General features: G+C 46.7%; 1 protein-coding gene across 12 annotated transcripts in view, besides 2 other annotated features; it reads right to left on the bottom strand.

Moving 5' to 3' along the window:
* The window catches only part of PPP2R2D (protein phosphatase 2 regulatory subunit Bdelta), a 70,526-nt gene that overhangs the window by 23,267 nt on the left and 21,023 nt on the right, over positions 1-26,236 (bottom strand). For 3 of the 12 annotated variants that reach the window (XM_006717914.4, NM_001291310.2, NM_018461.5), the window contains 6 exons: positions 13,712-13,809; positions 8,071-8,236; positions 7,573-7,685; positions 4,122-4,299; positions 2,808-2,972; positions 476-737 (listed from right to left, as the gene is read on the bottom strand). In XM_006717914.4, the coding sequence (XP_006717977.1) occupies positions 476-737; positions 2,808-2,972; positions 4,122-4,299; positions 7,573-7,685; positions 8,071-8,236; positions 13,712-13,809 (982 nt within the window). Of the gene's footprint in view, positions 1-475; positions 738-2,807; positions 2,973-4,121; positions 4,300-7,474; positions 7,500-7,572; positions 7,686-8,070; positions 8,237-9,614; positions 10,071-10,092; positions 11,854-13,260; positions 13,374-13,711; positions 13,810-26,236 lie in introns of those variants that run through there. The other 9 variants (XM_047425473.1, XM_047425472.1, NR_033191.3 and 6 more) reach the window with 8 other exon arrangements.
* Positions 2,483-3,312: an enhancer, noted in NCBI's record as "H3K4me1 hESC enhancer chr10:133758459-133759288 (GRCh37/hg19 assembly coordinates)". NCBI's record gives its function as "activates a minimal SCP1, AML or CMV promoter by ChIP-STARR-seq in naive H9 embryonic stem cells {active_cell/tissue: H9 hESC(naive)}" and the evidence as "EXISTENCE:reporter gene assay evidence [ECO:0000049][PMID:30033119]".
* Positions 12,707-13,906: an enhancer, noted in NCBI's record as "MED14-independent group 3 enhancer chr10:133747865-133749064 (GRCh37/hg19 assembly coordinates)". NCBI's record gives its function as "activates an origin of replication core promoter dependent on BRD2, BRD4, P300/CBP and CDK7 cofactors, and independent of MED14, by STARR-seq in HCT116 cells {active_cell/tissue: HCT116}" and the evidence as "EXISTENCE:reporter gene assay evidence [ECO:0000049][PMID:35650434]".

Below are 26,236 nucleotides of genomic sequence, written 5' to 3'. Positions count from 1 at the left end.
CACATTATAAATTACATTGGTGTTTCAGACCAGCCATGACCACGCTGTGTCTGGGCATGACAGGCAGTGGCTCTGGGGTGTTTTCATCTACTTCTCTCCAGAAGGAAAGGCAGACTGCAACGCGGTCATTCCAGTGAGGTGAATCACTTCCCCACTTCCTTCCTTTTCACTCATTATCAGCATAATAAAAAGTAATACACTATCATTCACTAAGCATTTAACACATAGCCGGCCTGTACCTAGTGCTATACTTCTTGTCTAAATATAAATGGAATGACAAGCTAGGTGAGAAACTTGCTCAGAGATCCTATTTTCTCTACCTTGATACTATCATCCATCAATCAAAAGGTCTGGAAAACAACACCCTATGAGCGTCCTCCTCTGACGCTGGAGGACAGCTCGCCTCCCTCACTGACCTTGCACTCTCGGAAACCAGCAAGCTTGGGGCGACAGCTCATCTCCACGCAGGCCTTACCTATCCGAACCGTTCCAGCAACACTCAAACTTGTCAAAGATGCAGTCGTTCTCATAGAGAGAGCAGAGCTTGCTGCGCAGGTACTCGTGGACCTGGTGGGTCTCCACCGGCCTGCTCTCCATGTTGAGGTCCCACACCTTCACCGACAGGTAGTCTCTGGTCATCATGTACCGCCCACTATGACTGAATTTTACATCGGATATGGATGAAATTATTTCTGAGAAGAAGGACCTACTGCTGGGATCTTCAGGCTCTTCAAAAACTGAAAAACAAAATAAAATGTTTTCAGCTTCTGTTTAAAAATCAGAGAACAAATCATTTTCAAGTTCAAGTAGGAAGTGGCCCCTTCAGAGAGACTCTGGAAGGGCTTGGCCTCAACACTAGGTCTTCTGATCTTTCTGATTCTCTAGGTTTTCTGATCTTCTGTGACTTCCGTGGGCAAGAGCTTCGGATAAGACATTCTAGCACCAGCTATGGACAAGGGATGGGCATGAGAAGCGTAGACGCCCAAGTCTCACCCGGACCCTGAATGAGAATCTCTAGGCAAGGTCCTGGGCACTGCCATCTGTGGGAGCTCCTCGGGGCATCCTGATGTGTGCCCAGGTTCAGCACCACCGCATTCCTGTAGGAGTGTCTCCGCGTCCTCATGGCACCAGGCCCGAGCACGTGAAATTCTATCGCATACACATCACAGGAAGACACAAACAGCATTATATGGTCATGCAGACACAGCGGTCTGTGCCTCTAAGAAACTGCCTGCTTTTTGGAGGGTCGACAGTTTGTGGGTCTGCAGGAGTGACCACCTTGACTGGCAACGCTGTGGTCCTGATTTTAACCACCAAGACGGTCCCGCCGGTCAAAGCCAGCCAGCCAAGGTTTGTCTCCAATACTGAATATACACAAGCTCTACTGTGACAAAACTGGATTCCTATTTTCAGAAAGATCCTCCCGCCTCAACCTCCAGGGTAGCTGGGACCACAGGTGAGCACCACTGCACCTGGCTTGTGCTTCCTTGACCTGAAGCTGCTTTAGGTTTTTTCTCTTTTTTCTTGATGCAGGAGCCTGTGTTTGTCGGCTTAGCATCTGAAATTAACTTGAAGCCAGCTGTGCCGACGCCAAGCATTTACTCAAATAAATCACTCTGATGACAAATAGAACTGGAATCTGAAATTATTTACTCAAGAATTTTATGCTTAAGATACAGGCCAAATGCTACGAAACACTCATCCTCATCGCAGGAATTCTAGTAGAAATACGAATTCTTAAAAACACACTCAACCTCAGGAAAGAGAACAGGCGAAAAGGCTGCTGCACACGGTCCATGGGCACATTCCACCGAGGCACTGGGGGCGCCGCTGCACATGAGCAGCGGCTCAGTCTGGTGGGATTGACTGGCGGCTTCCCCATCAGAGGAAGTCACTGGACGTGTGTCTACCTGCTGGCACTGGAGGAAGGGTCAGCAATGTTTCAGGACACTGGGACACGCTGACTACAGTGCTCTATAAAGTCAAGCCCATTCTTTATGGCTAAAAATAAAAACAAAACCAGAACCTCCCTCACCTAAAAGGAGCTTGAAAGCTCACTGGATTAAAATGCTAGACTTTCAGCTAAGGGAAGTGGCTTCCAATCCAGCCAAGCTCAACATGAACAGGAGCTCATTCCAACAGCTGGGAATGGCCTCCTGTGTGCTGGCGGCCTCAGCCCAGGTCTCACGCACAGAGGCAGAGGCAACGGGTGGCTCTTGGCGGGACTCAGTGCTGGCAGCCTCTGAGGAGACACCCAGGCTCTGGGCAGAAGTGACCCCGCTTCTCGGTGGTGCCAAAAGCACACTCACCCTACAGCCATAAGCCTGTGGGAAGCATGACCTCGAGTTCCACTTATTAGCAGCAGCCTCTGACACAGCCACACTCGGACGGCCCCAGCAAAGGAGGGCTCCCCAGTTGTGCAAAGGCACTTGGGGAACAGGAAGAACTCTCTAAGTCTTTGGAGTGTCTGAAGAACAAGTGGCTCTAAATGAGATGCTTTAAAAGACGCCAGGCGTGACCAGGTGCGGTGACTCACACCTGTAATCCCAGCACTTTGGGAGGCCGAGGTAGGGGGATCACCTGAGGTCAGACCAGTCTGGTCAACATGGTGAAACCCTGTCTGTACTAAAAATACAAAAACTAGCTGGGCATGGTGGCACCTGCCTGTGGTCCCAGCTACTCGGGAGGCCGAGGCAGAAGACTTGCTGGAACCCGGGAGGCGGAGCTTGCCGTGAGCCGAGACTGTGTCACTGCACCGCAGCCTGGGTGACAGAGCCAGACTCCATCTCAACAACAGACGCACTTACACTTGGAGTGTCTGTCGCACAGGGCCGAGGAGCGCATGTCACACAGGCGGATGGTCCCTTTGCTACTGCTGTAGACGAACACGTTGCACTGGTGCGGGTGGAACTCGGCTGCAGTGATGACTTCGGTCAGCTCCTCCATGTTAGCAGGCTTGATGTCCACGATGTCTGGGAGTGCATGGTTAAGGCACAGTGCTCAGCTCAGCTGGTTGTTAATTAGTCTACATTCAGTCACGCGAAATAGGACGCCAAATAATCCACGCAGTGAGGTTTAAGGGATTAGCTATTAAGAAGGCTGGTTACACATCCCGAATTCCAAAGGAGCGCCTGGTAAGGGGATTGGGATGAGCACACTCAGACTACAGCAACGCCCCGGCCCAGGGGGAGACACAGACAAGCGAACACCGCTTTCATCTTGCTGCTATTATTAATGTTATACAGAAAGCCCTTAATAGCAAGATAGTACATACTTAATCATATAAATAGGAAAACCAAGCTAGTACCATCTGTGCAAAATCCCACACTCCCACACAAAACTACAACACAAGAATGCCGCCAAATTCCAAAAGATGCTGCTCTTCCTGACATGAAGAGCTTATTCTGTGTAGCTAGAACAGATCCAACAGAAATCCTATACAGAAATCCTTCAACTGAAAAAAATAAGAAAGGGCAGAATTCAGCTGTGGGCCAATTCAGACTAGCAGTCCCAGTTTCACCCTTCAAGCTGAAACAACTAAGAAAACCAACATACGACATGGAACCCCAGCTCAAGCCACTGGACAGCAGAGGGAGGACGGCAGGGACCCTGGAGAGGCTGCAGACGAAGCAAGCCCCATGCTCCCGGCTGCTGGCTGGAAAGGGGCCCATGTGAGGAGGGCTGGGGCCACCCAGACTGTGCACAGCCACAGAAGAACACAGGTTCTAACTGGAAGCTGCTGCTCAGATGGGTGATTAAACACTGCTCTAACCTAAGCCAGTATTTTCTATTATTCATTAGCAAATTTAGAAAAAAAAAAAGAACACATAATGTTGGTTTTTCAAATGTAGCCTATTTAAAACTGCCTCTGATTAAACCAGGCAGGCAGTGGACTTCAGGTAATTCCCATTATACAGATAACTTTTTCCCAAAGGTAGAAAGAAATTTGTATTTTTAGGGACAAACATTTCAAATCACAGAGAACTTACATCACAGGCTGCTGTGCAGTGATGGTATTTACAAGACTAGACTCCGAGATACAGGTGTATAAAGGGACGAGAGAAATTACTATCTAAAGAGCACCCTCGGGAAGACGCCAGTGTCCCTCTGAGGAAGGATACTAAAGCTTCTATCTGTGATTTCTAAGTGCCATAAATTAATTCTCAGGTCATCTGCAGAAAGATATGTTTCATGATCACTATTTACTGAAATGGAATTTATATGATATGTGTGAGCATTTGCAAAAATTCGCCGTGGACTCGCTTCTACCATAAGATCCATGGGCTTCAATATTGGGACCTAAAAATGGAAGGAAATAGGAATTCAAAACAAAGATCACAGCAGCACATAATTAGAACACTTATAGTAGATAACGAAAGAGGACAAGTTTATATTCATGGCTAAGTAATAATTCTGTACAGGCAATACCCCCAAATAACCAATTAGCAGAGTTATGAAAATATGCTACAAAATGGAATACTGTCTATTCCAAGTCTTCCCCTTGCTTCCATTACCGAGGTCGACATGTTCCTGCTGAAGAGAAGATCAGCTGGCAGGGTAACAAACTGCCCAGGCACCGAGGCCTGCGGCTCCCTCTCCTGTGTGTCCTCCAGTGGCCACACTGAGGCGCTGGACAGCAAAGTCCTCCTGGGTGGCTCAGCTGCACCCCTCCCTTTGTCCTCTCCTTGCAGCTAGATGCACACACCTCTTCTCACTGCACTAGGACTATGCTTCTCGGTGCAAACCCCACAAACCTCCACTGGCTCCAGGTACTGGCAGGGTGCACAGCAGGGTGCTGGGGAGCTGAGGATATTCCATTTCTTGGTCTGGGGCTGGCTACATGGGCATGTGCACCCTACAAACATTCATGGAGCTGGTCACTTATAGGGCAGATGTCTTATCTGGAGGTATGTATTATATATTACACTTCACTTGAGGTTAAAACAAAAAGTAGAAGGTACCTCCCGCCCCCATCTCTGTGTTGAGTGCTGTGGTCAGGGAGGCTTCCTAGGGAAGCCCAATTCGCACAGAAATAGAAAGGACAGAGAGGAGTGGGCGCTGGCTGCAGGCCGCCTATGGTCAGAGGTGAGAGCTCAGGCGTGAGGAATAGCATCACACATGAAAAAAGGAAAAAGGCCTGTGTCTCACTAACATCCAGCTGGAAGAAAAACATAAGCTTTAAAATCAAAACAAAAAATTAATGATAGTATTTTTTGTTATTCTTGTAATTAGAAACCAAAAGGGAGAGCCTTGAAAGCTTAGGGGAAAAAGAAAAGCTCTCAACTGAGTCTTGTCTGGCTGAATTCTGTAAAAAACCAACTTGGAAAAGTGTGTGTAGGGAGGCTTCCCTCATTTTAACCCAGGTAGTGCTGACCACACCCTTGGATTCTCTAGAGCAAGAAGAGTCAGTTCTACCAAGTTCAGGCTTAAAAACACACACCTACCCCAATCCTCTAACAAATTTCCCATTAATCAAAACATATGATAGCTGCAATACTTACAAAGATTCCTTCTTTTATTGAAAACATTTTAATTTGCATATAAAATAATTTGCTTTCATTTTTAGAGATGGGGTCTGGCTATGTTGCCCAGGCTGGTCTTTGAACTCCTGGGCTCAAGTGATCCTCCCATCTCGGTCTCCCAAAGTGCTGGGATTACAGGTATGAGCCACCATACCTGGCCAAGATTTCTTCTTTTAATTATATCCCTTTTCTGGCACTAAAATAATTTAAGAGCAAAAATTTAAAAACAGCAACATGTCTGACTCTTACCCAGTTAGGCTCAGATACATAAATAGCCCACTCTGAACTGTTAGAGAGGTAAGATCTCAAATACCGACCTAAGTCAATGTACAGAATTACCTGTCTGTGGTCTCTTCCCCATGCACCAACTAATGAAATAACTAGACTTCTCACACACCTTCAGTAGGGCCACCAATTATACCCGTTTTATTTAGGCTAAACCTACAAAAGCAGCCTTGAATAAAACCAAGACTGGGCCTAGTAAAGGCCTACTGTTCTCCCAAAATGAGCACGTGAGCTGATGGGTTGTGGCAGGGTCTGATCAGGAGGAACAGGGGTTTCTGAGGGTGGGGTGTGCACAGGTAACTGGGTGGGAGGTGGTGTTGGCTGCAGAAGAGATGGACAAGGCTGGAGGGGGTCAAGTGCCCACCCTCGGGGGTCCCATCACACTTCTACTTTAGGATCAGCAGTTTCATGATGATGGAACTGCACAACTCGTGTTACTGTCACTAAAAGTGATTTACACTAATTCAGGGGTGCAAAGGCGGCAGCACTGTGTATCAGACATCACCAACATTTTGGATCAAAACATCTTGGTTCAAATTAGGACCCTATAAACTAGATTTTCAGCAAATGCCACAGCCTTTCTCGCTTTGATGAACTCATAGGAAATACGGTGACAACATCGATGTGAGAAGTCTGAGGACACTCCTCCTGAGGAATGCACAACCCCAGGTGTAGCCACCCCACACGGCAAAGCTGGAGAAATGGCATCAGAACAGACCCAACATCACTCCCAGAGGCACATGTGTTAGGGAAAGGCTTCTGCGGTACAGCGTCCTCTGTAGCACTCTCCAAGACTAATGTGGAATGGGCTCACTCACTCAGTCTTCACTTGATAAACAATAGTGTAAAAGGGGCTGAAATCTCATTAAAAACCAACCAAACCACCCAACTCAACCACCCACCCCCCGCAACCAAACCACCCAACCACCCAAACAACCAACGGTTTTCCAATCTAGTAACGGCACCCCCTTGGGACCAGGCAGAGTTTCCTTCCAGGGGACACACCTCTGCACAGGTGCTGGTTTCTCACCAAGACACACCTGGGCTCGAGCCCAGTTTGCCGGACACCCTTCACCATGTTCCATCTAATTTAAGACAACATCAGTGGTGCGTAGCACCAGGCCAATTATAAGACATTGAGGTTTTGAGTTTTAGCCGGTTTCATAAATGTTAAAATATGAAAAAATTTAGGCATCAGAATTGATGAAATATGATCATTTCATACTACCAACAATGGAGCAAATAATTTAACAATTAAAAAAGTAATGATGCTCATGGATGGACAGGTGGAGAGTTCTGAACCATCAGCATCTGCCTAAACCAACCCCAAAGAAATTCCCCGAGAAGCGTCCTGAATGTACCTGTGGCCCACAGCTCATCTTTCGACCTGCAACCTGTGCTACTGCACCTGTGAGGTGTTCTGAATTTCATCTGAACTCCAACCTCCCAGGTGCTGTTCTGAACCTTCTGAGAGAAGGGTGGTTGCTATGTCCACAAAGATTTCTGCTGTAGAATTAAATATGAGTTTTCCCCTTAGTATTGCTGTGTTTCCTAAGGACCACATGTGACTTTCTGCCTTTGTGAAAACAGGAGAAAGACCTTGCTTTTAAACACACACATGAGTGCAAACGACTTTCAGGAATCACGAGGCAGACCTCACAGCAGACCTCACAGTACTCCACCGCGCAGCACTCTCCAGACAGCAGACTGAAACGTTTATTCTTAACTTCTCAACAGCATTGGATAAAGCAAAGGCAACGTGTACCCGTAGCGCCGTGATCCTAAATGGGTCTCGAAGTCTTCCATCTTCGTCTTTCAGGTTATAACCTTCTGCTCTTTTATCCCGTTCACTTATTTTCCATAATTTTATAGTTTTATCTGAAAATAAAAACCTCATTCTCCATATGAAAAGAAAAACTATAACATGCATCACTACTGTTTGAGTACTGGTATTAGAAAGCGGTGTGGTCCTATATTGGGTTATAAGCTATGGGGTCTCTGAACATGAATATTTCCAATTGGAGGTGTTTTGTACAATAAAGAAAGATGTGCAGACGTGCAGAGTAACAGCATAATAAAGTGCACGTGTGGTTTTTGTTGCATACTTTGAATTTTCAACCTATCACTTGCTACCCTAGATAACTTACCCTCCCCCCAAAATTTAAAGCAGGAATAACTTCTAAAATAAAAAGGAATCTACACACACACAGAAAATTAAAAATAAAAAACTAAATCAAACAGCCACTTAGAACACAATTCTTACCATTTGTAGACAGTAGAAAATGAGCAGCATTCTGTTGTGGTAACCACCTAATTTTATTAATTTTTTCCTCAATTTCTAGACTTTTCAAATAGTCAAACTCCGGTTCATGACTTTGAAAGGTGCTGTAAACATTATATTCTCCCCTAGAATGAGGGCGGCTTTTATTCTGCAAGGAAACATGAGAGCTGTTTTAATGAACAAAGCACAGTGTAGAGAAAATTTCAGTACTATAAATTTGAATATCAAATGACCATACATATTTTTTAAAGCTAAAAAATCCTGGCTCAAAAAAATCTCAGATGAAACTCAGGGAAAAAAAAAAAAAAAAGAACGAACTTGATTTCCGACTCTTCGACTCCACTTCTAGGTATGCATCTGGAGCAGGTCTGCCGAATGCAGCCTTGCTGTATTTTCTGGAGCAGGTCTGTCAAATGCAGCCTGCCGTATTTTCTGAAGCAGGCCTGCCGAATGCAGCCTGCCGTATTTTCTGGAGCAGGTCTGCCGAATTCAGCCTGTCGAATGTAGCCTGCTGTGTTTTCTGGAGCAGGTCTGCTGAATGCAGCCTGCCGTATTTTCTGAAGCAGGTCTGCCAAACGCAGCCTGCCGTGTTCTCTGGAGCAGGTCTGCCAAATACAGCCTGCCGTATTTTCTGGAGCAGGTCTGCCGAATGCAGCCTGCCGTGTTTTCTGGAGCAGGTCTGCCGAATGCAGCCTGCCGTGTTTTCTGGAGCAGGTCTGCCGAATGCAGCCTGCCGTGTTTTCTGGAGCAGGTCTGCCGAATGCAGCCTGCCGTGTTTTCTGGAGCAGGTCTGCCGAATGCAGCCTGCCGTGTTTTCTGGAGCAGGTCTGCCGAATGCAGCCTGCCGTGTTTTCTGGAGCAGGTCTGCCGAATGCAGCCTGCCGTGTTTTCTGGAGCAGGTCTGCCGAATGCAGCCTGCCGTGTTTTCTGGAGCAGGTCTGCCGAATGCAGCCTGCCGTGTTTTCTGGAGCAGGTCTGCCGAATGCAGCCTGCCGTGTTTTCTGGAGCAGGTCTGCCGAATGCAGCCTGCCGTGTTTTCTGGAGCAGGTCTGCCGAATGCAGCCTGCCGTGTTTTCTGGAGCAGGTCTGCTGAATGCAGCCTGCCGTATTTAAGGCAAGTGTTAGTGGAACACAGTCAGGCCCATGTGTGCACATACTGTCTCTGGCTGCTTCTGCACCATCTGGGTAGAGGTGAGTGGTTGTGAAAAGGCCGCATGAGCTATAGAGGCAAAAATGTTTGCAATCTGGCCCTGGAGAGAAAGTGTCTGCTGAGTCTGCTCTAGAGGAGAGCCAGCACGGGCCTGAGGAGCGTGACACAGCGATGTGGCAGCTCCAACACAGTGGTAGTGAACCAGACGCCACACATATGCCAACCAGAGGCGAAGGGCAACAGTAAGCCACAGGGCCATGCAGGGACCACCACGAAGCCGCTGAGATAAATGAGCCAGCACAGACAACCGCACAGTGCTGCACAAGTGAAGCAGGCTGCACAGGTGCCCAGAGTGAGGTGCTGCTTACGTACGTACAGAACAAGTCTGTTACAGAAGTGGAGAAACATGCTTGGGAAGACATATGCCATCTTCAAAATCATGAGCAACTCTGGGAAGCTAGAGGGAGAGTGAAAAAGACCAGGAGGAAAGTAGCAGGCTGAAATGGGGAGGGGACAACAGGAGCTTCATCTGTATCCCGAGCATTCTCCTTCCTTTGATGAAGGGATAACCTCTGGGTGGTGGGTTTGCAGGTACATCTATATTAACCTCTGAATCTTCTGTATGCCCTAAGTGAAATTTTCTATTAAGTATTAAATATTTCATAATTCAAAATCAAGGACGCCAGTACTTTCATTCTTGCTCTATAACCAATATCTAATATCTTAGGTGTTTAACACTTTAGTACATATGCTAAAGGAATGGAACTAAACGAACTTTCAAGTCTAAACAGATGTTCCTTGATATTTCCAATCTGATCAAGTATCAGGAGAAGACATCCCAAGAAGCTACCCACACCCGCACTGCTGCAGAGTCCAATGTGCAGGGCATTCCTTCCACCGAAGCCTCCACGGGCAGAAGCTGAGCGCCTCGCCTGCCCCGCGTCGCTGCACTGAGTCTGACGTGCAGGGCATTCCTTCCACCGAAGCCTCCACGGGCAGGAGCTGAGTGCCTCGCCTGCCCCTGTCCGCCGCACTGAGTCTGACAGGCAGGGCATTCCTGCATTCCTTCAACCGAAGCCTCCACGGGCAGGAGCTGAGCGCCTTGCTGCTGACTGCCCCGCGTGTGCTGCACGGGGCAGATGTTGAAACTGTTCTCCTTTGACCCTCTCCTACCACTCTACAAAAAAGCACAGCCCCTCAACAGACAGTTCTATTTCAAGGGAGAAAAGTGGAACCAAATTATTTAAAAAGAAAAATCTGTATAACTAAATTAGTCCTATGCCCAAGACATTCATCTACCAAGAAAAAACAGCGGAATAGAAGCAAAAAAATAAAATGTCCAAGTCAAAGTGCTGCCTGCACTGCCCTGGCCTTTCTCCTAAGAGCCAGAACAAGAATGGTCCCTAGGCTGCAGGCTTGTCTCTCTGCCATGAACGGGTTCCAACTCCCATCCCAGTCACCCCAAACCCAAGCAACCCCTCAGCCTTCTCCAACACTCCCAGATCTCATGGAGTGCCGCTCTGCTAGGAGAGAATTCTAAAGGAAGCCTCATGGGGACACGGGCAGGAGAGCAGGGAAGTAACACACAGGAAGAGGAGGAAGCGAGCACCTTCTCTTTTTGGACGTGCTGATTTCTGATTTCACCTGATTCCTGGCGGCTAGAGCTGAGCCTGGAGGGCAGTGGGCCGCACAGCCACACCCATACGTTCTGTGGGCCTTAGTTTTATTGGCTGGGCTTTCCTGTAAGACTTAATCTGCACAGAAAAGTAAGAAAAGCTTGAAACTCAAGGTGCTGACTATGCTTCCCACCTCGTCTTCTGCACAGCCAGAGCTTCCCAACGGGCCTCTATGGACCTGACTCCTGAATCTCAGGCCCTGCACCTTCCACAATCTGGTGCTCACTCACTAGCCTTCCGAATCCTCCACGCTCCTTCGATTCTAAGACGCACACGTGGACGCCTGTGAACCTTGCTGCAGCTTCTAACTGGGAGCTGGGGTCGCTTGATGGGCAGCAGCTTCACCCTCTTGGCGGCTGCAACACCATCCGCGGCCTCCGGCCATGGATGAACACGTGCACTGCCGCCCTTACCCACAGACACACTCAAGTCCACAGGGAAGGGCACATGGGGCAACCAGCCGAATGCTCTAAAATGGATGGACCGTGAAAGCCTTTCAGACGTGAACCGAAATACGAAGAAAAAGAAAAAAGGCTGCCTGGGGTTTGTCAAGTTGCAGCTGGCTGAACAACTTCAGTAGGGACTTGCTCCTGTATAAATCTGTCACTCACATAACAACTTCATCTTAAAAAAGCACTTAACACTCTATAATACCCAATATCTTTTAGAACGAGATGCTTGACTTTTATCAGGGTTTGTTTTATATTTGAGACTATTATTATTTAGGTTAAGCAACGATTCACAAAAACAAGAGAAATTCCATTTTCTAACCTAAAATCTGTTAGGCAGGGATGAGGCATCTTCCCTAAGGCTATCGCTACAATGACAGACTTTTTAAATAAGCTAAAAGTGAAGTCTTGCATTAAGATAGCCATGACTCAACAATTTGTTAAAAAATCCTCCTGCTGGCCAGGCGTGGTGGCCCATGCCTGTAATCCCAGCACTTTGGGAGGCCGAGGTGGGCGGATCACCTGAGGTCAGGAGTTCAAGACCAACCTGGCCAACGGTGAAACCCCATCGCTACTAAAATACAAAAATTAGCTGGTCGTGGTGGTGCATGCCTGTAATCCCAGCGACTTGGGAGGCTGAGTCAGGGCGAACCACTTAAACCCGGGAGACAGAGGTTGCAGTGAGCCAAGATCACGCCATTGCACTCCAGCCCAGGTGACAGAGCAAGACTCCATCTCAAAAAAACAAAAACTCCTCCTGCTTTAAAAGTAACATTTAAACACCACAACCCACTTTTACTTCTGTTGAGAAAGGTAAGGTGTATGGTTCTTTTTTTTTTTGAGATGAAGTCTCACTCTTGTTGCCCAGGCTGGAGTGCAATGGCACGATCTTGGCTCACCGCAACCTCTGCCTCCTGGGTTCAAGCGATTCTCCTGCCTCAGCCTCCCAAGTAGCTGGGATTACAGGCATGTGCCACCACACCCGGCTAATTTTGTATTTTTCGTAGAGACAGGGTTTCTCCATGTTGGTCAGGCTAGTCTTGAACTTCCGACCTCAGGTGATCAGCCCACCTCGGCCTCCCAAATTGCTGGGATTACAGGCGTGAGCCACTGCGCCTGGCCAAGGTATATGGTTCTTAAGTAGCATTGTGTGATATTCTACTTCTGAGATAAAAATGCAAAATTATAAATGTATCAAACTGTGAAGAAATATTAACGATATACTTATTATTCACAAAAGGATTTCTTACCATCCCAAATCAGAGAAAACAGGATTTAAAAAAATCTTTAACTACCTGGACATAATCAAAATAAAGCTGCAACAGGTATGTTTTGATAATGAAATTGGTTAGCACCTGTCAATTTTCCTCATGTGGCCCAGGGACAGTCCTCCTCCAGGCTCCCCTTCCTGGGGGGCAGGGCCAGCACTTCCTGTGTACAGATCTGCAGAGAGGGGAACCAGGGCCCACCAACCTCTAAACCAAAGTTCGTCACACAAATTTAGAGACCAGACTTTGGAGATGATAAACTGTCCCTTTCATCTGTTAGGAAACTCAGAGACAGGAAGGGCAAGGGACTGTATTTATAAGGAAAAGGCAGGACAAATATTTCAGACCCCAGGCTTAGCTGCACAGAGCCAGGGTTCTTGCCAGGAATCCTTGACTACCAAATCATGATCTTGCTTCCTTTATCACTGCTCATTAGGACCTCTGAGGAGGCTCAACAGAAAGAAGAGGGAGGGGGCTGGCAAGGCATCAGTGAAAAGGCAGTGCCGTGACCGGGAAGCCAGTGCTTGCTTATGAGCTGTGGGCTCCTCCAAGGCCCACACTCTGAAGGTTCCCTTCCCTCCAGACAGGTGAAGCCTTCAAGGGGGCATGGAGGAGTGAGTGCTGCTCACCTCTCCCTGAAGGGAAGAGAGAATTCACACCCCTGCCAGACTTCTCTGCAGGAAGTGCTGAGAAAGCTGCTCACACTTCATGGCAGGGCAGGACGGCGGGGCTGGGCCAGTACCTGCATAGGCGTATAAAGGGATTTTCAGAGAGAGCCGCGTGAGTTCTTATGGAATGAAAGCACATAAATGCACCTCACCACCACCCTGCATCCTTCATGGGGTCCCCAGCGGAATCTCCTCCCTACTCTGAAGACAAAGGCCTTGGAGACTTCACCGGGGCTCAGCAGCTGAGGCCAGAACTTAGATAATTTCTGAAAGGAGATTCTGTATGGCTAATGTGATGGAACTGAATCTTAATGAAATGAGACAATGAGAAAATAATTTTGCTTCCTCCCTTCTAAGTTATATGCGAAAGGTTGAATAATTGCATTTGATTTGTGGACTGAAAATTACTGACCTCTTGTTCACGCTGAAAAATAACAACTCTGCCGCCCTTGTCTCCTGTTGCAAGAAGATCTCCAGAGTAATTAAACTCAACGGTGGAAATGATGTCCGCTGTCAACAAAATACAGAAGCGATTTACCGGATGCGGTTTTGGGGAGGAGTCACAATACCAAAAAATTAATAAAAAAGAGCAAAAGGACGATAAACATATACAACTTTCTCCGAGACTAAAGCAAAACTGTCTTGGCAAACTTGTAATTACCAAGTGGCCACTTATTGGTTCTGGTGCAGAGAACCTGCCGGCACAGGTGAATGGGCGAGTTTTACTCCACCCCCATGCCTGGGCCCCTGGAGCACCAGGATTTATCTAGACTAGGTTGTCTTGATAAAAGGATAAAGGGTAGAAATTTAGAAAATTCATCTGTAAAAGAAAAAAATAGAGGAAAAAAATGGGTCCTGAAGAATGTTGCCTAATTTTATAATGCATACCTAATGTTAACTTTTAAAATAAATCTGATTCTTATATAATAGTAATAAAAATGTTGTTAATATTCTATGCAATAACTTTTGTTGGCTTCTGTACAATGTAATATTCTAGACAGTAGAAGTTCCATGTCATTGTCTGGATACAGTTACCACCACTGATAATGATGACATCATTACCAAGTGAGACAACTGTCAGGGAGGCCTTGAGATCTCTGACAGCATAACAAAGACCCCAGACACCAGCTCAACAGAGGCCAAGACCCCGGGGCAGAAGGAACACCACCACTAAGCAGTGAGAAAGTCCTCAGGTGTCCTGAGGCTAACCCTTCGGGTTGGGAAGGGAGTGTCTGGATTTATGACCAACTATTAAATTAAAAAAAAAAAATCCCAGGTCTGTGACTTGGACAAAGATTTTCTGTTTTCAGGGGGAGTTCCATGACAGACTCTGGAGGAGGCTGGCTTCTCCGCAGTGCTGCTGTGTCGCGTGCGGACTGAGGATAAGGCCTGGCGTGGCCTCCCGAGGGGCCATCAGAGCTTGTCCTATGGCCACAGTGGGACTCCTCGCCTTACCCTGCAGTGTGGGGGAGTCTCAGGAACAGCTAGAACACTACAAGCTCGCCTCCCTGCTGGGCACCAACTCAAGGGCTCGCAGTGACCTGGGCACACCCAGGGCCCACGGTACGTTTATAGTAGGAAGTAAAAAAACAACTAAATGGCTATTGTAAACAACCTACTAAGAAGAAATGGGCCCTAAAGCTGAAGTGACTCAAACAGCTCCCTCCAAAAGTGGCTAGAATGCAATTCTGACAGGTCTGCAAAGGCGTTTTAATCGTGTTAGTGAAGGATTTCCACCAACATCTACACAGCAAGCTCCCGCGGCTGGCACTGTTCGCTGGCCTCACACGGGAATCCCTGGCCTGGGAGTTCTTTCTTTTCAAAATCTTCAGACTTTGGAAGAAGGATTAGGTTGTTTCTTAGAAGCGTCACTATTAAATTACTGAAAATAACCTAACTTGCTTAAATGAAACTAAAATATTATGTATTGGATTAAAAAGGTCTAAATCTATGTCATTTATACCCAGAGGGTGTATAAAATTACATAATTAATTGTATTCTAGCTCTGTCAGTGATTTTCAAACTTAATTATAATGGACTGAGTCTTTTAAAAGAGAAACTCCTGTAACTGTCGGTGCTGGGAAGTTTCATTAAGCTACACAAACACGCGTGAACCTAAAATTAGAAACACTGCAGTGCTCAATCTCTAAACCCAAACTAAATACACAAAATTACAAAACCAACAACGTTTAAATTATCAACATCAAATTAATCTGATGGAGACAGTTTTTAAAAACCAGACTGATGCTGAAGGCATAAATATGGTACTAAAGGCACCAAGTTAGGTTTTTTTTGTGTGTTTTTTTTTTTTTTTTTTTTTTGAGACAGGCTGGAGTACAGTGGCGCGATCTTGGCTCACCGCAACCTCCATCTCCAGGGTGCAAGTGATTCTCATGTCTCAGCCTCCTGCGTCGCCGGGATTACAGGCGTGCACCACCACACCCAGCTAATTTTTGTATTTTTAGTAGAGACAGGGTTTTGCCATGTTGACCAGAATTGTCTCGAATTCCTGGCCTCACGTCATCAGCCCGCTTCAGTCTCAAGTGATCAACTTGCCTCAGCTTCCCAAAGTGAGTTAGGTATTTTAAACTACCATAAACTTCACCATGGCTGCGTTCTGCCTCCATTTCCCTGCTGGGGTAGGGGAGTGCTTCTGCCCACGGTACAGCCTGGCACCTCCTGGCCATCCCATGGAGACATCGGGTCTCTTCTCAGCCAGACAGGCCCCACTGCCATGTCACACTCCACCTGCCGTGGCACTGCTGCCAGCTGGCTGTCTGGCTGTGCAATCCTCATTCAACATCCGGGTCCCATCAAATCCGCAAAGTGTCCGCAGCCACCCCGAGTCCTCTCAGACCTCCCGCCGAACATGGTGGGCCATGCGTGTGTGTTCATCTCCTTTACCCTCCCACCCCCGCCCAGGTGTCAGAAGAAAGCAGAAAAAGCATCTATGTGAGCAGCTTTAACAAACGTGGGGGCAGCAAGGGGCTGGCACAGAGATGCAGAAAGTCTTCACAGAGCTGCTTGGTCCCCAGGTCGCCCCCCATTCACCCTGCCAGGTGGGAGCACACAGTTTCTTGTTCCTCAGACACTGGCTACCGGCCGCCATCCCCAGGGGTGCCCTCCGAAATACTCCAGCCCTGGGGAAAGGGCCTCAATATTCAAACATTTGGGTTTTACAAGGACATGGCCAACCACAGTGAAGCTGCCAGCTGAAAAGCCCAGGCCCACAGAAACAGCAGCCTCGCTACACTCAGAAATAGAAACCAACAGCCACGACCTGCAGAGCCTCAAGAAGTCACCAAAACAAAGATGGGTGGGGCCAGGCGCAGTGGCTCATGCCTGTAATCCCAGCACTTTGGGAGGCCAAGGCGGGTGGATCACCTGAGGTCAGGAGTTCGAGACCAGCCTGGCCAACATGGCAAAGCCCCATCTCTACTAAAAATACAAAAATCAGCTAGGCATGGTGGTGTGTATCTATAATCACAGCTACTCGGGAGGCTGAGGCAGGAGAATCGCTTGAACCAGGGAGGTGGGGATTGCAGGAAGCTGAGATCACGCCACTGCACTCCAGCCTGGGCAACAAAGCAAGATTCCATCTCAGTAAAAAATAACAAAAAAACAAAAACAAGGATGGAATCTGAACAAAGAGAGACGGGAAAGCCCGAATCATGTTCTGGAGATCTGCTGACTACTACCAGCCGCTACAGTACCAGGGTTTGGCTGAATGCTTACTAGGAGCCAGGTGCTATCCTAACCACGCACAAGCCCTGTACTAACGTAGCCAGGCCTCTAAGAGCCCCAGGAAGCAGGGCTATCATCATCCCCGCCTGATGGAGGGGAGAGGAGAGGGATGCTGGACGTGGGACCCTGCGTGCTCAAGGTAGCAAGCCCCTGCGGGTGAGTGGGGCAGGACACCTGGGCTGGTCTCAGCCAGGACACCCAGTGGGGCCCCCAGGAGAGGAAGAATATGCTAAAGAAGGAAAGAGGAGGAGAAAGTGCCATGTGAAATCCAAAGGGCAACAGTAATCATCAAAACCTTCAGATCTCCTCCAAAGGGCAGAGTGGAAAGAAAGACATGGATGACAGGAAGGATAAGACAATCAGAGGATCAGTTTCGGTGGCCCACCTCCCAGCTGACGAGTTCTAGAAACACAACAGAGAAAGCAAGGCAGAAGCATCCAAGGCCCCGTTCCCAGGCTCAGAGGCCCCGCATGGCTGATGGCAGACCCAGGCCGCGCACATCTCAACACCAGGGATAAAAAGGAGATTCTAAAAATTTCCAGAGCAAATGAACAGGTCACATGCGGAGAGGAAGGGAGTCAGATGGCATCACACAGGTTGCAGGAAACATGGTGGATGAAACCTCAAACTACCCTCAAAATTCTGGGAGAAAACAATTTTCAACCTGAAATGCTAGACCTAGTCAAGTTTTCAATCAAATCTGAGGGAGCAGTAAAAATGTTTTCGAATATGCAAAGAGCCAAAACAAACAAATGCTTTCTCAGGAAACTGCTGCGAGAGGCAATTTGGCAAAATGAGAGAAAAAGCCAAGAGAAGGAAGATGGCAGATCTGACTTCCAAAAAATGGTGAGGAGAATCTCAGGACATGAGCCAGGCGGCCAGCAGGCCTCAGAGTGGCCGTTCAGGCCAGGGAGACTGGTCTGGGGACAAGAAGAGCTGAGAGCTGATCTGATGTGTTGGTATTTGATAGACCTGTTGAAGTGTTTGCTAAAAAAAAAAATGCACTAAAGACACAGATAACTAAGCATATGAGAAAATCAGGCAATCATTAGACCTAGGAAAGTGAAAACTTGTGTGAAAAAGAAAAGGCACAGTTCAGTAATACACAATATTTACCTGTTAACGGAATACTATGTAACAAAAACTTGCAATAGATCTCTTTCAACCTCTTTTTTTGTGGGGAGTGGGGATACACGTGGGCTGAAGGTGGTATCAGTAAAAGGCGGAATCATCGGTTGCCATACAGGAGGTTGGCACTGACGGTTCGAAACCACGGAATGAAAAGTGAGCAGTCCCAGCACAGGAGTTACAACCGGGGCGGCCTCAGGTGGCAAGAGAGGAGGGGCAGGTGACGAGGAATGAGGTCCCAGGTTTAAAGGACATTCGGGTGCTATGAGGAAGCAGACTAAGGAGCTGTGGATGGGGAAGGGGAAACGGAGTCAGTGGGATCTGTAAAACATGCCCTAGAAGTCAGGACCATGTGCCCCAGGGAGAGTCAGCTGCCGGTGGTGGCGGGGAGGGAGGCACGGAGCACAGCCGGGAGCTGCTGTGAGAATGGAGCGGGCAGGTGTGGCGGGCAGAGCACAGCCCCTCAGGCTGCACTGTTTCCACGAGGCATGAGGGAGGGTCACCTGCTAGGAGTGAAAGAGAGGACACGGGCGATGTGGAGAGCCTATGGCGGAAGTCCCCTCAGAAGAGAGAAGAGTGACGAGTCTTGAGAAATGCAGGCCTGCCTCCCAGTATCCACGCCCACTTCACACCTGAGGCCAGCAGCTTATCTTTTTAAGCTGCTCCTACATCTGAGTGGCTCTAAACCAAGCACTGCGTGGGTGGCCTCAAGACAACACAAAGCCCGTCTTCACACGGCTTACGCTTTAGTGAACGAAACACTAAGGGCAACACCAGACCACCCAGCACAGTTCCCACGATGGCATTTCCAGCCTGCCCATTCCCATGATAACATTTCCAGCCTGCCCAGTGGCTGGGAGGAGGCAGAGGCTCAGAGGATCAGGAGGGGGCGCCTGAGCAGGGCCACTCTGCGGGAAGCACAGGAGACAGAAATCCAAGGGGGTGCCTGAAACCAAGATTTCCGAGGTAGTACAGGGGGCAATGACAAGGCCGTCTGGGGTCATCAGCCTTCAGGAGATCCAGAAACTGCATCTGGAGAGAAACACAACGAAGGCAGACAAACAACTCCAGGCGTGAGTTCTGGGGTTGAGGACAGAGGCGCCTGTTGTATTATTATTCTACTTTTCTTTTATACGTACATCATTTCTAACTACTTCCTTTAACTGGTATGTCAAATATGAATGCATCAGATCAGCTCTCAGCTCTTCTTGTCCCGAGAGACAATGTCTCCTGACCCGTCTGACCCGTCTCCCCTGCCTGGACGGCCATTTGGAGGCCTGCTGGCTGCATGGCTCATATCCTGAGACTTTTCCTAACTTAATAGTTTTTGAAAACCCACTAGGTTTTTCAAAACAAAATAAAAATGTGACTATTTCACTTCTCTACTTCTCTGGATCTTCACTGCCGCCAGCCTCCGCCCACGGCACCCACCACCTCTGCTGGAGGGTTGCCGCAGCCTTCAAGGGGTTCCCCCATTTCCTCTCCTAAGCCTCAGAGCCCAATGTCCAGAAAGCAGCGGGAGGAAGCTCTTGAAAAGCATAAAGATAACATTACCAGCCTGAAAAAACCCTGTCAATACCCAAGTACCACAATCAGTCTATTACCAAAAAAGATACAGTACTTAAAACGCATCACCTAAAATTACTGAGTCATTGTCAAAACAAAAGGGATCCCTGACAGACATGATGTGAAAGTTTCCCGCAGGTCCTCTTCGGCTAGTTCTGGAGTGGGTCATTTAAACACACTTCCTGGCACATAACCACAGACCAGGTGCTGCTCGCGAGGCCACTGCCCCTTCCTGATGGTCTCCACCTGGCCACCAGGAACTGAGGTGGCCTAGCAGCCCAGGAGGTGGTTATAAGGAAAACTAGCGCCCTACCGGAGGCACTAGCAAATCGGACCCTAGGCTAGTAGGCAGATGAACTGGTGTCCACCCTCCCTAGCTGTCAGGGAAGGGTCAGTACAAGCCACCCTGCAATGTCACACTCACACACCAGCTGAAATGAGACTGACTTTTCCAGGTATCCACGGCAGCTCTCGTAGACAGCTCCTGGAGCAAACATGGGTACAGCAACTCTGAAAACCATCGGACAATATCCACTAAGGTGAAACATGCATATCCCGTGACCCAGAAACTCCACTCCAGACACACAGCCCCCAGAACTACATATGTGCATCACTGAACCACTTACGAGAATGTTCACAGCACGTTCACAAAAGAATCAACTCAAATGTCCGTCAAGAGTAGAAAAGATGCATAAACTGTGGCATATTCATACAACAGAACATCACACAGCAATGAAAACAAATGACCATCGCGTAACACCCCAGGTTAGTTACAGAAAGCCAAACACTGCAGAGGACTTAGGGTGCAATTCCACTTATACCACATTCAAGAACGGGGTGTCCGATGTGCGATGCCAGCTGGGGTAGGAGCTGCCCCGGAGGGAGGGAGGGCCTGGCGTCCTGGCAACGTGCTCCTAGTGGGGCTGGGTATTTACTGGGGGTCTTTGCTGGGCGACAGTCAGTACTGCATATCTGGGACCTGTGCCCTCTGCAGGTATTCCATTCTGCAGCAAACATCATCCCGCTGACTTCAGGCCCAAGCAGCTATCCGTCTTCACTCGGACTCTCACCGCCGCCAAGCTCTGGGCCTCCTGTACTCCAACCCGCGCACCCGTCCGACCCGCGCACCCGCCCTCTCTGAAGGCTCCATTCATCCTCTTAGTCTGAAACTTGCAATCCCTGACAGCAGCTTCTCCCAGGCCCTCTCCATGGGGGCTCTCTGTTGTCTCACACCCCACTCCCCGGGGGGAGAGTTTCTCCTTCCTTCATTTGATGCTCCCAGACCACGGCTCCTCCCTCCTCAAAATGACTGTCTCACACCTCTCCTCTCCCCTCAAACTTCCAGCACCCCAGCCACTCACCCCACTTCCCATTAATGAATCTGCTTATTTCATGAAAAACAGAAGAACCCAAAAGAGAACAGCCATAATCTCCCCGTCAAAGACACCCCCTGCAGTGGAAGAAGCCACTGCTTCCAGCAGAGACCACCTGGAGCGGGATGACCCAAGCTAGGCAGCTCTTTGGACTCGTGGTCACCACACCCTCTCCTCCCAGTCCTTCATGAACTCGCTGTAGCCAGCGCTCTGCTACCCTGACTCGGCAAGTTCACCCATTTCAACGCACCCCTACTCTGGCAACGAGTTCGTTTCCTACCATTACCCACCCAATCACTTCTCTCCTCTACACGCTGGGCAGAGGCAAGGTGCCGGGCAAGGCCATTTGTTTCCTGCTCTGCGGCACCTGGCAGAGCTGTGTGCATACTGCAGGGACTCAAACGATGACACACAACAGTCAAAAAACACATCCAGCCAGAGAGTTTTTGGAAATCACAACTCCTTCACATAAAACTTCTCTGAGAAGAATTTAGTACATATGCAGAAAGAGGAGTAGAGCTGCCCTCCAAGGAGGCAGAGTTTACCGAGGCTGCCAGGCGGTGAGCTCAGCAACAGGGCACTCTGGATACGACAAACTGACAGACAAGAAAAGTGGGAAATTGTCTACCTTTTTTAATGTTTTGTGGAGCCAGGGTCTCACTATGTTGTCCAGGCTGGTCACGAACTCCTGGGCTCAAGCGATCCTCCTGCCTCAGCCTCCCAGAGTACTGAATTACACGCGTGAGCCACTGCGCTCAGCTGGAAGTAAGAAATTTTCTACAAGCAGACACAGATGCACACGCACACACATATACACACGTTTCTGTGTCTTTTCAAAGAAGCTCACCCAAAGGCAAAAAGTCCATTCTGTTCAAAAACCAGACATAAACTAATAGAAGTGAATTATAAGCCTCTACCATATATTAAAAAAATGGAAAACTATTTATGTCCGAGACCCAGTAAGACTCTAGAGACACTATAATCTAAAAGCATCCAAAATTGAGTTTATCCGAATTACTGATAGAGGCAGGAGACAGCCAAATGCAATACACAGGCAAACAGGGAAAGGTCCCAAGGGAATCTCTGCCCCGCCCAGGTCATTGTGCATGGGGTGGGGGAAGTCGCCTAAACATGCCCACATTGAAAAATCCCGTCCCTTAACACATGCCCAGTAAGGGAAATAAATCAACATGGAGTGGCTCAGACTAAGGGCCTGTGTGTGCGCTGAAAAACGGGGCGGAGCCACTAGGAATATGCACCTTATGCTGGGGAGGGGCCTGGCTTCTTCAACCTCTGCGTGGTGGCCTCGTATTCAATTTGTGAGGGGGAAACCTGCTTGGAGAATCCCTATCTTTGCTGAGAGCTTTCCTTTTGCTTAATAAATTCTGCCTCCTCACCCTTCAATGTATCCGCATGCCTAATTTTTCCTGGTTGCAAGACAAGAAGCTGAATTTAGCTGAACTAAGGAGCAAAAAAAATCTTGCATCATTATGACTAGACTGGATAAAATGTGACAAAATAGAAAATTCTGCATACTACTTTCTAGTCACTTAAGCACTAAAAAAAAGTTTGTGGCAAATTATTCTAAAATACAGAAGTCAGAAAGAACTAAAAATTTCTCTGCTACAGGAACAAACAATATTTTTGAAATATGAGAAGTATACCATATCCTAGGAATGCAAGGTTGGTTTAACATACAAAAACAAATCAATGTAATACACCATACTAATAACATTAAAGGACAAAGACCACATGGTCATCTCAATAAATGCAGATAAAGCATTTAACAAATCCAACACCTTTTCATGATAAAAACACTCAACCAACTAAGAATAAAATGCAACTTCCTCAACTTGACAAAGAGTACCTAAAAAACCACAGCTAACATCACACTTCATGATGAGTCTGAAGGCTTTTCCCCTAAAAGCAGGAACAAGACAAGGATGTTTGATTTGCTAACTTCTAGTAAACATTCTACTGGAAATTCTAGCTGGGGCAGTTAAGCAAAGAAAATAAATAAAAGGCATCCAGATTAAAAAGGAGTAACATATCTCTATTCACAGATGGCATTATATTGTATACAGGAAATCCTAAGGAATCCACAAACACAAAACCTATCAGAGATAATAAACAGGTTCAGCAAGGACACAGGATGCAAGGCCAATAAAGTCAACTGCATTTCTACACCTAGCAATGAAAAATTCAGAAATAAAAGCAAGAAAACAACTCTGTTTACAATATCATCAAAAAGAATAAATACTTAGGAATAAATTTAATCAAAGAATGACAAGATTTGTACATTGAAAACTGCAAAATATTGTAAAAAAAAAAATTAAAGACCTGAATATACAGAAAGTTATCCTGTGTCACGATTGGAAAACTTAAGAAAGTATCTCCAAAGTGTTCTACAATAGTCAAGGTATTAACCCTATGAAAATCCCAGCTGCCTTTTTTTTTTTTTGCAAAAATTGCCAAACTAATTCTAGAATCATATGGAAGTGCAAGGGACTCAGAATAGCCAAAATGATCTTTAAAAAGAGCAGAGGAGGAAGACTGACACTTCCTGATTTCAAACCTTACCATAAAGCTATAGTAACCAAGACAGTATGGTATTGGCATGAGGACAGACATATAGACCAATGGATCAGAGGTCAGAGTCTAGAAGGACACTTACGGTCAACTGATTTTCAACAAGTGTACCAGGACAATTAATGGTAAAAGAATACTATTTCAACAATGATGCCAGGACATCTAAATATCCACATGCAAAAGAAAAAAGCTGAACCCTTAACACCACATATAAAAATTATATATAAATGTAATTAACTGCACATAAATTCTATATATAATTATATATAAACATGGATCAGAGACCTAAATGTAAGAGCTAAATGAATAAATCTTCACAATCTTGGATTAGACAGTGGTCTCTTACATATAATACCAAAAGCACAAACTTCTGAAAGAAAAAAATAAGGTGGACACCATCAAAATTAAAAATTCTTGTGCATCTAAGGACACCATCAAGAGACTGAAAACACAACTCATGGAATGGGAGGAATTGTTTGCAAATTATGTATCTGATAAGGGACTTGTATCCAGAATACCTGAAGAACTCTTACAACAATAAAAAGAAAGGCCCGGGCACGGTGGCTAACACTGTAACCCCAGGAATTCAAGACCAGCCTGGGCAACACAGCAAGACCCAATCTCTATCAAAAATTTTTTAAAAGTTAGCCGGCTGTGGTGGTGTGTATCTGCAGTCCCAGCTACTTGGGAGGCTGAGGCAGGAGAATCGCTTGAGCCCAGGAGTTAACAGTGAGCTATGACAGCACCACTGCACTCTAGCCTGGGTGACAGAGCAAGACCCTGTCTCTAAAATAAATAAAATAAAAAGACAAGCCAATTGAAAATGTAATTTTCCAAAAATATATATATATAAATGTCCAAATAAGCACAGGAAATGCTCAACACCATTAATCACTAGGGAAATACAAATCAAAACCACCAGATACCAGTTCACAACTATTAGGATGGCTAAAATTAGACAGACAATAACAAGCGTAGGTGAAGAAAAACTGTTCATACATTGACGGCGGGATTACAAAATGTTGCAGCCACCTTGGGAAACTGTTTGGCAGTTCCACAAATACATTAAACACAGTTGCCATATGACCAAGCTCCATTCCCAGGAATATACCCAAGAGCACAGAAAACACATGTCTATACAAAAACATGTACAAGAATGTCCACAGGTGCATTTGAAAGAGCCAAAAACTAGGAACAACCCATCAACTAACGGATAAACAAAAATGGAAAACTGTTTGACCAGGAAAGGAGGGAGGACTGACGCATGCTGCAGGATATGCCTTGACCGGCATCACGCTGGGGAGAAGCAGCCGGGGAGCAGAGGGACACGTGGGCCATGACTCCATTTACATGACACGTGAACAGGCAAATCCACAGAAACAAAGTAATCAGTGGTTACCAGAGGGCAGAGGGTGGAGGGAATGGGAGGGACTGCTAGTGGGTTTCTTTTAGGGGTGATGGAAAGGTTCTAGAATTATCCAATTCAGATGGCCACAAAACTGAATATTCACCCGCACACTTCACAAAGGATGAGCTCTGTGCTCAATGAATTACAGCTCAAAAGCTGTTGTAAGTAAAACTACCCCATAAAAACAAATGGATCAAGTCACTAAAAGGGCCTCACAACTTGCAACCATTCTCAAATACACTCTAAAAGTAGACTAAATTATTCCAAGTTTTAAAAATAACCAACAAACAAAAATCTGATATAAATTTGTTTTCCACAAATTACTAAATTCATTTTCCTATTTAAACCTAAAGGGACTTTGTTTTCTTTTTGGCTACTTTCCAATTTTTTTTAAGAAAAAAATTGACAGATAATGGCCGGGCGCAGTAGCTCATGCCTGTAATCCCAGCACTTTGAGAGGCCGAGGCAGGCGGATCACGAGGTCAGGAGTTCAAGACCAGCCTGGCCAACATAGAGAAACTCTACTAAAAATATAAAAAATTATCCAAGTGTGGTGGTGTGCACCTGTAATCCCAGCTACTCGGGGGACTGAGGCAGGAGAATCGTGTGCACCTGGGAGGCAGAGGCTGCAGTGAGCTGAGATCAAGCCACTGCACTCCAGCCCGGGTGACAGTGTGAGATTCTGTCTCAAAAAAAAAAAAAAAACAATTGACAGATAAGTATGTATCATGTACAACATGATGTCTAAAGTATACATACATTGTGGAACAATTAAATTTAGCTAATTAACAAATGTATTAGCCCACATAACTCCTTTTTGTGATGAGGAATACTTAACATTCACTCTTTTTATTTCTCAAGAATACATCAGCATTAACAATAGTTACCTTACTGTAAATACGGCCACTTTAGTTCTCACAGTCATAGACATACGTAAATGACATGAGAGAGAAACGGTCAATCTTTTATTGTGTTTTACTCGGAAAATTAGTATTTGCATCATGCTGTGATCGTTAAGTCTTGCTTTGTCTAACAAATTTCAGAAGACTTCAGAATTTGGGAACCATATTAAACCACTGCCGTTGAAGTCTATGAGAGGTAGGGCCACTCTTTTCAAGGAAAATCTGAT

Source organism: Homo sapiens, chromosome 10 (genome assembly GCF_000001405.40).
Source record: "Homo sapiens chromosome 10, GRCh38.p14 Primary Assembly".
Lineage (NCBI taxonomy): Eukaryota > Metazoa > Chordata > Mammalia > Primates > Hominidae > Homo > Homo sapiens.
This window is presented reverse-complemented; position numbering and strand designations above follow the sequence as displayed.